This window comes from Homo sapiens, chromosome 12 (genome assembly GCF_000001405.40).
Source record: "Homo sapiens chromosome 12, GRCh38.p14 Primary Assembly".
NCBI classification, from domain to species: domain Eukaryota; kingdom Metazoa; phylum Chordata; class Mammalia; order Primates; family Hominidae; genus Homo; species Homo sapiens.
In genome coordinates, this window is record NC_000012.12 from 55,274,913 (window position 1) to 55,285,354 (window position 10,442).

Genomic DNA, 10,442 nt, shown 5'->3' on the forward strand with positions numbered 1-10,442 from the left:
TTATTTGTAATTTTTAATCATTCACAATGCTCTTTTGAGAAAGCTGTGACTTCTCAACCTTCATTAAAAGCAGTGTACAGAATGGTAATTACTTTTTCTCAATGCTAGTCTCAAGAAATATTATTTTCCTTTATTCTTTGTATTTTGGTTGATTCCTTTAAGTTTTAGTGTGAAAAAATGAGAAAGTGTTTTGGCACCATGACATTTCTTTATATGTCCCAAAACATTCTTCTCTTACATCTTTACTATAATATCAAATTGCTTGGAAATTATAATATAGTTTCTAAGTTTTAGGTAATATTAATCTCATATTGAGTTTCTCTGTATTTTTTTGTTTTTATTTTTACAAAAGAAAAAAGCTATAATAATTATTGCATAAATTAGACTTTTCCAATAGATTTTTTTAAACACCCGCATCCTGAATTTTTTAGGTGACTGAACTTGTATGGGGGTAGAAAATATTTACAGAGTTACAAGTTTCATTTATAAACCTTTGGTTGTAATCCTTTCCAATAAAATCATGAGGATTCAGTATTTTCCTCTAAAAATTGAATAAAGTGAGTAAAATTATAAATGTTATAATTATTTTGATATTATTTCAATCATGTTTTCACAAATTAAACAGAATAGTGTCAGATACTTCATGAAAAGTACATTTAATGTATAAAATTTGATGAGTTTGGACATAGACAGACAACTGTAATACCATCCCCAAAATCAAGTAATAAATATAACCATCACATCCAAAAGTTTTGTTGTGTCTTTTTGCATTATTCACGTGTGGTTGTGTATATGTGGTAATAACACAACACAAACTCTACCTTTTTAATGAACTTTAAGGGCACCATACCATGTTAACTATAGTCACTATGTTGTACAGAAGATCTTTAGAACTTTATTCATCTTGCATAACTGTTTAATTTATGAAAATTGAACAACTCCTCATTTTCCCCTACTCTTAATTTTTATCAACCACCATTCTATTATCTATTTCAGTGAGTTTGGCTATTGTAGATAACTCATATATGTGGAATCATGTAGTAATTGTCTTTCCATGACTAGATTATTTTACTTAGCATGATATCTTCCAGGTGTATCCATATTGTTGCAAAGGGCGGAATTTTCTTCTTTTTAAATAATAATATTACATTGTATGTATAAAGCACCTTTTCTGTACCTATTTGTCTGTCAATGAGCATTTGGGTCAACTTCATATCTCAGCTATTGTAAATAATGCTGCAAATAACATGGGAGTGTAGACATCACTTTGAGATCCTAATTTTAATTCTTACATATATATGACCAGAAATGGGATTGCTGGATTATGCAGTAGTCCTATTTTTAATTTTTTGAGGAACCTCCATGCTATTTGCCATAGATGTTGTACCATTTTATATTCCCACCAACTGCGTGTAAGGGTTCTGATTTCTCCACAAAGTTGCCAACACTTGTTATCTTTTTAAATTTTTTATGACAACCATCCTAAGACGTGTAAGGTGGTATCTCCAATAGTACAGGGAAAACAGAATAGTCACATGCAAAAGAATAAAATTAGACCTCTATCTTACACCATACACACAAGTCAACTCAAGATGGGTTAAAGATGTAAATCTAAGACCTGAAACCATAAAACTCCCAAAAGAAACCATATGCTTGAGAAAACTTTGTGACATTGGTCTTGTTAATGATTTCATAGACATGACATCAAAATCATAGGCAACAAAAGCAAAAGTAGGCAAGTGGTACTACATTAAATTAAAAGCATCTGTACAGAAAAGGAAACAATCAACACAGTGAAAGGCAATCTACAGAAATAGATACAATATTTTCAAACCTTATATCTGATATGGGATTTATTTCCAAAGTGTATAAGAAACTCCTACAACTCAACAGCCAAAAACAAAAAACAAAAAAGGGCAAAGGACTTGAATAGATATTTCTGCAGGGAAGACATAAAGATGAATAAAAGGTAATGTAAAGGTGCTCAACATCACTAAATGTAAATCAAAATCACAATGAGATTTCACCTCACAACAGGATGGCTTTAATTATGTGGTTTTGATAAGGTTCACCAAAGGGTAATAATAACCAATTAATGAAGATGAAGTTGATTGCGCTTAGACTGACAAATGATCTTTGATAATATACTGTGATTTTTCTGTTTGAATTTCTCAAGTGCATGTTGAGTATGATGCAGAACTTATTGTCTTCTTCACCCAGCTGAACCCTGCCTCAAAATGCCAATGCATTTCTTCTTTCAAATCTTCTTCTTGAAAATCTGAATGACATTGATTGTATTCCTATATTTCTTGTGTTAGTTCATTTTTACACGGCTAATAAAGACATACATGAGACTGATAATTTATAAGGAAAAAGGATTAATGGACTCACATTTCCTCATGGCTGGGGAGGCCTCACAATCTGGGTGGAAGGCAAGGAGGAGCAAGTCACGTCTTACATGGATGGCAGCAGGCAAAGAGAGAGCTTGTGTGGGGAAACTCTCCCTTATAAAATCATCAGACTTTATGAGACAAAGAGGCCACTGCTCGAACAGTCACTGGGGCAACTACAAAGAAGCACTGTGGAAGCACTTTGGCCTACGTCACAGCAACTAACATGACAGACAGAATAATTAGATTTATCACACAGCAAAAAAATTCTTAAGTTGTCCCACATCAGAGGAGATGTGGAAAGGTGCCATTTGAATCAGAAGGAAGGGAGAGGGCACTCAGGAAAGCCGGATAGGTATCTGAGGGATAACATTTTTATTTTCTTTCTCAAGTAGCCAATTATACCTTCACAACTTATAAAAAAGCATCCTGTGTTCACCTATTTGAAATACTAACTTTATCAAATATTAGTTTTGTAAGTTTTTTGTGGTATATGAATAGCAATCAATGTATCTATTGATATATTTGTCATATATAATCTAGCTCTGCCATCTATTTGTAAAAATTTCAAAAACTTTTACTTTATTCGTCTTCATTTCTCATTCTTTTTCAATATCTTCTTTTCTTTCATGACATCACCTACTTTTAGTGCAATCTTTATGAAAATAAAATTGGTTATTTATTTCATTATTAAACTCCTTTAAATTATTTTTCTTTTTTTATAATGAAGTATGAATTCTCTTAGAATAAACCAAAATCCTTTAATGGTTATTTTGTGTCATATGAATATCCACTTATTTCAGCACTGTTAGCTGATATAAAAACTAAAAATTTACTTAAACAGTCATAGATAATAATATCCTATATCCACTGAATCAGCAGAATAGAATTCCATAAGACAAAAAGCAAACAAATAAAGCAAATTAAAAACAAAAACCAACAATAATAAAGAACAATGAAGGCAAAATCCAATTCTTTGAGGTGGTAAATATAATTGATATAGCTCTAGTTAGAATGATCAGGGAAAAATGAAAAATTACTAATTTTAGAATTGAGAAAGATGACATTACTACATATCCTACAGATATTAAAAGAATGTTGAGGCCAGGCACAGTGGCTCACGCCTGTAATCTCAGCACTTTGGGAGGCCGAGGCGGGCGGATCACGAGGTCAGGAGATCGAGACTGTCCTGGCTAACACGGTGAAACCCCGTCTCTACTAAAAAATACAAAAAATTAGCCATTAGCTGGGTGTGGTGGCGTGTGCCTGTAATCCCAGCTACTTGGGAGGCTGAGGCAGGAGAATGGCGTGAACCCAAGAGGCAGAGCTTGCAGTGAACCGAGATCATGCCACTGCACTATGGCCTGAGTGACAGAGCGAGACTCCGTCTCGAGGAAAAAAAAAAGAATGTTGAGATACTATGAACAACTTTATGCTAAATAATAGACAATTTAGATGAAATGGACAAAATCATTGAAAAACCCTAAATGCCAAAGGTCACCCAAAAAGAAATACATAAGTTGAATAGTCTTATATCTGTTAAAGTAATTGATTTGTATTTTAAAAGCTTCACATAGAAAAAAAAAGATCTAGGACTGGATAGCTTTCCTGGTAAGTTATGCAACAAATTTTTAAAAATATCAATTACATACAAATTCTTCTAAAAACCTGAAGAGGAGGAAATATTTTCCAATTTATCTTCAGGCAGCATTACTCTGACACCAAAAATGGACAAACACATTAAAAACATACAACCACAGTTAATATTCCTCATAAGTATACATACAAAAATTCTGAAAAACAATCAAAATGTATTTAATAATATTAATATATAAACATGATAATATATAATGACCAAAGTGAGGTTTATCTCAAGAATGCACTGTTTAGTTTAACATTAGGAAAAAACTAATGCAATTTACGGTGTGTTAAAAAAACTAAAAATTTATTTAAAGAGTCATAGATAAATAATTTGATAAGATTCAATATTTATTGCTAAGAAAAACTCCAAGCAAGCTAGGCATAGAAGGGAACTGCCTCAATATGATGAAGGGCATCCAAATAATTTACAGCTAACATTGAAGCAAAAAAACTGAATGCGGCCAGGCATGGTGTCTCACGCCTGCAATTCCAGCACTTTGGAAAGCTGAGGCAGGAGGACTGCTTGAGCCCAGGAGTTCGAGACCAGCCTGGGCAACATAGACTCCCATCTCTACAAATAATAAAAACAAAATTAACTTGGCATGGTGGCATGCTCCTGTGGTCTCAGCTACTTGGGAAGCTGAGGTAGGAGGACCACTTTAGTCCAGGAAGTCGAGGCTGCAGTGAGCCAAGCCATGATCACACTACTGCACTCCACTGTGGGTGACAGGAGAATGAATCTCAAAATACAAAACAAAATGAAAAACCTGATAGCTTTCCCACTAAGATCAGGAAAAAGACAAGGATATTCACTCTCCTCATTTCTATTCAACAAGATACTGGGAGTTCTAGCCACTGACATAAGTCTAGAAAAATAAATAAAAGATAGCCAGATTGAAAAATAAGAAATAAAACTATTTTTATTTGCAGACAGCATCATCATGAAAGTAGAAAATCCAATGAAATCTATAAAAATTGTACTAGATTTAGTAAATGAGTATAGAGAGTTTGTAAGATATAGTATCAATCCAAAAATTAATCATATTCCTGCCTACTCTAAATTTAAAAAAAGTCAAATACCATCTTAAATTTTAAAGCCCAACATATTTAGAGACAAATTTGACAAAAGATGTATGTGATGTGTACACTGAAAACTACATAACATTGTCAAAATAAATTAAGAAGACCTTAAAAAATTAAGCAATAGAGTGTGTTCATGGGTCAAAATGCTGAATATTTTTCAATTGTCTATTCTTCCGAAATTGATCTATAGGTTCAATGCAATATCAATCAAAACTCCTAGAGCTTTTTTTTGGAGAAGTTGACAAACTGATTCTTAAATTCATATGGAAATGTGCAAAAGACCTGAAATTGTCAAACATCTTTGGAAGAAAATAATAAAGTTGGAACATTAAAACTATCTGATATTAATACTTGGAATAATGGTACAATGTAGCATTGCCCTAATTTAAACAAGTAGATTAATGGAACAGAATAGAGTACAGAAACACAGCACACCTATTATATATAGATAACTGATTTTTTGACAAATGTTCAAAGGCTGGTTAAGAAAGAACAAATTTGTTTTTATTTTTGTTTTCCCAAGGAATTGTTCTGATGTATTTCATGTATAAGAGTAGTAGGTCTGGACTGTTTTTCAACTCTGAATTTCTATAGTAGACCTGATGCTTTCTTAAGAATGGATGACAGTGAGCATTTTTTTCATGACTAAACATTAGTAACTAGTCATTTGGATTTGTTTTTGATGACATTTGTTTTGAGTCATGTTTTGTGGTCCTTAGGGCTTTGTTTAATACCTTTTAGAGCTTGGTTACAAAGACAATATACACTACCAATCCTTTTTACTCATTTTGAGTATAGTCTTTATATTAATACGGTTCATGGGCTTCAGATATTCAAATTATCCTGCACCTGCATGTCACAAACCAAATGCAATACTATTGATTTTTTCCAAATTTATAAAAAGGACACTTTTAAAAATAATCAAACCCATTACCCTTGCATACCCAGTGTCCTGCCAGTACACAATTGAAACCTCATTTTAAGTTTGAATTTGTTTGCAATATTCAAGCCTGCTGTACACTTGTTTTGAATTTCTTTTTTTTTAGTGAAAGTAACAGAAAGATCTTTTTGTTTGAAAAAACTAGCCCAGCAGATTTTCTCACGTTGCCTCATGACAGTGAGAACAATTGATGTTTTGTTGCATATTGCCTAGATTTTAAAAACAGACAGTATAGATTGTTATATGCATAAATAAACTTTTTGAACAGCAGTCTCTAAGGAATTTTTTCTCTATTTTCTTTTGTTTTGTAGTTTCAATAGATTCCCTTGTGTCTTTACTGAGCAAAAAGATAAAAATACCTCTAGCTTAATGGGATACGTGACATTTCTCTACTTAAAGTCTTTCTTTAAGTTGTTCTTTTTCCTAGGCTTTCATCTTTGGTGTAACAAGTCTAGTTAAGTATTAATGAAAACTTTTAGAAATTTAACCAGACTGTAGAGAATGATAGAGATACATTGGAATTTTGCGTGTGTGTCTGAATCCTGAGATGTGTAGTGAATATGAACTTAAGTGAAAGTGGAAAATATTTAAACAAAATATTGTCTCATTTTATCTTTACATGGATCCTTCTGAAGAAAACTAGGTATTTAATATCTCTTTAATAATGGGACAGTGTATTGAAATGATTATAAATATCCTTAATTTAGTTAGCCTTTGCATTCTATCATGTACCATAATATAAAAACAAATCCAATATACCCTGTGTAAGGTAACACCATTTTTAACTTATCTTTTTGTGCAACAAAAGTTAGGGCACAACTTTGGAAATCCAAGTCAGGGAATTAAATTTGCCCTTAAATTGTCCTATTTGCTTTATTCCTTCTGATGAAGAAGAAAACTTTCTAATATAGACATTAAATATATATTATTATATATATTTATATATATATTTAAAATTCCTAATATATATTTCTATTATATATAAGAAATTTTTACTTCTTCAGCTATATTTTCATATTTTTACCTCTATTTATCTTATATATAATGTAATAGAATACATTTTTTAAAAATACAAATAAGTCTAATTTTTTTTCTTCAGCTTTTATTTTAAGTTTTGGGGTACATGTGCAGAATGTGCAGGTTTGTTACTCTAATTAATTTTTTAATCTATCTCTATGAGCTTGTAGTTGCATTGAATGAATCATAGAGGAAATTAGAAAGCAGCTATTTACATGTTGAGAAAATCTACAAACACACTTACATCCAGCTTAAGATTAAAGATAGCTATTGTGTTTAACAAAGCCCAGATTTTGATCAGTAGAACAATGATGAAATTTTAAAAAAATCTTCACTAATTATACTTAGTCTACCACATCATAAAAATTTCACAGATAATACATGAAAAAAGTAAATTTCTATTTATTACATTACATGTAATAATATGTAGTTATATGTAAAATATGTATTATAATACATATACAAATAAACTACATGTAAATTTTGTTATACTAGAAAAGGAGTGACTAATGAAAAACCCAAGAGATAACAAAAATAGAAATATTTTTACATTGCAAGTACTATTATGCATGCATTAACTTATTATTTATGAAAGACACACAAATTAAGATTACTAGAGAGCAATCATTGTTTAAAACAAAGATTCTAAGGATTCCTTAATTAAAAACAAAGGTTTTATAGGGATTCAGTAATTTTAAATGAATATATATAAATAAAAGAATATTAAGCTATGTAAAAAAGCAGAGAAATAATTAAATATCTTAATCAAAAAAATAACTTGCATGATATTTGATTTTTTTATTATAGCTTGCATGTTATAAAAGGAAGCCAGAAAATGGAAAAAACGCCCTTTTGAATATTGCCCAGGAATTCTGAAAATTGGCTAAGACGAAGCAGCCTTTCTTTAGCAAAAATAATTAACGAAAAATAAATTATAATCAGTTACTATGGAACATAACTGCAATACTAGTCAGTAAGAAGACCTGCAACTAGTACTTAAAATCATTTTACATTGAAAATAAAACAATATATAGCTTCTTACTGTATTTGCAAAAGAAAGAAATAAGAAACCATTATAAATAGATTAAAGAAAAATGGAAGATAAAATATAGAAAGACTAGTTTTAGTTTTTCTGTTGGATATATCTCTGTCATACAGAATTGAGGCACTGTTAATGACTTACTGGAAAAGTGGTCAATCTAAAGGCAATTGATAAAGTACGAATAGGCACGTAAGTGGAGCTAGAAAAACTGTAGGAATGGAAACACAAAAACTAAGTAAATAAAATATAAAATTGAACTTGATGATGGATAAACATATATCAATGAATAAATATAAAATGGAACTTGATGAATAAATGAATCTCTTAAGTAACAAGTTACTTGAGATGTTAGCTAAATTCAGAAATTTCAACCTACTAAACATTTAAACTGCCTTTTGGGATAAAGTGCTTGAAAGATGAATCAAAAGTTAACACTAACCAAAGTATGAAACTTATTTCAAATGACTGAAAAGCCTTCAGTAACGTGGCAAGTAGGACTTATTTAACTCTGGACAAGAGAAGAATCTCTCAACATTCTTATAAACATGACTGATGAATTGGAGGATATGTTCATTTTTATGAACTCTAAGTTGATTTGTGAAAATATCTGCACAAGGGTAATTTTCTAAATACGAAATTTTCTATGGTTGAGAATGAAGTAATGTATTTTCTTACTTGTGGTATTAGTTTTTATTTTCTGCAGATTTCACAGGACAAAAGAAAAATGAAGAACCAATCAATGGGGATAGTGTTCACTCTGCTTGGACTGACAAACGACCCCCTACTACAGATTGTGATTTTTTTGTTTCTATTTTTTAATTATGTCCTGAGCCTGATGGGGAACTTAACCATTATCCTCCTCAGCCTGCTGGATCCATGGCTCAAGACTCCAATGTATTTTTTCCTCCGAAATTTCTCCTTCTTAGAAATTTCATTCACAACTGTTTGCATTACACGATTCTCGACAAGCATTCTGACTGGAGACAAGACAATTTCCTACGATGCTTGTGCAATTCAATTATTCTTCTTTCTTTTATTAGGAGTTACTGAGTTTTACCTCCTGGCTGCCATGTCCTATGACTGCTACATTGCCATCTGCAAACCACTGCATTATCCAATCATTATGAGCAGCAAAGCGTGCTACCAACTTGTAATCATCTCTTGGGTAGCTGGATTCGTAATCATCTTTCCCCTTTTGGTCTTGGGACTCAAGCTGGATTTCTGTGCTTCCAAACTATTGATCACTTCTTATGTGACACTTCTCCTATTCTACAGATTTCTTGCACAGATACAAGTTTCATAGAATTAATGGCTTTTATCTTAGCTGTGCTGACACTCATCACCACATTGTTGTTAGTGATCCTCTCCTACACATACATCATCAAAACCATTCTAAAATTCCCTTCTGTTCAACAACACACCAAGGCTTTTTCCACTTGTTCTTCACACATGATTGTTGTCTCTATTACTTATGGGAGTTGTATCTTTATGTATATGAAACCATCAGCAAAAGAAAGGGTGACTTTAACTAAAGGAGTATCTGTACTCAATATCTCTGTTGCCCCTTTACTCAACCCTTTCACACTCTAAGGAACCAGAAGGTGAAAGAAGCTCTCAAGGACATGCTTCAAAGATTTTGCTATTTTTAAAACAAGGCAAAATTTGAATATAAATAATATACTGTTGGAACATGGATGGGAAAATTGAATGCAGTCTTCAATAAATTACCTTCGTTCAGAGTTATTCCATTTCTCCACTTGAATAATATCATATTCGGTTTACTACATCTCTATGTTCTCTGTAGCCCTCTGTGTTGTTCTTTCTGAGTAGCTCTTCCTACTCTCTAGTGATAAACTACCTTCTTCAATCCAGAATATTAAATTTCCTCTGTGCCTAGAAATAGCTCTTCCATAAATAATAGTTTTATATACTGAGTGTTTTGTACCAGTGAATATTGCTAGATATACTGAGACAATTACTTCAATATGTGTGTTAATTGCTAAATATTGTATCTGCTCTTAAGTATTTTGCGTTCCTAAGACAGTCAAAAACACAGAATCTGATAATTATTATATTATGTAATTGATGCTGTGATAAAAACGAGGTAGAAAATCTGATTAATTTTAAAGATCAAAGTAGCCCCCCAAGAGATCATTGCTTATGATGGACCTTGAAAGATGAAGAAAAAAATTAAAGGTTCTAGGATGCTGTAATCAGAGTATAAAATATGCAAATAAATTAGTCTACTGTAGAAGGTTCACCTGGAGAGTTACAATGATTAAGAATATTAAAAATTTTTTATATATATATTTTGTTATACTTTAAGTTC

At 31.6% G+C, this 10,442-nt stretch overlaps 1 pseudogene; it reads left to right on the top strand.

Moving 5' to 3' along the window:
- On the top strand, positions 8,838 to 9,771 carry OR6C72P (olfactory receptor family 6 subfamily C member 72 pseudogene; annotated as a pseudogene).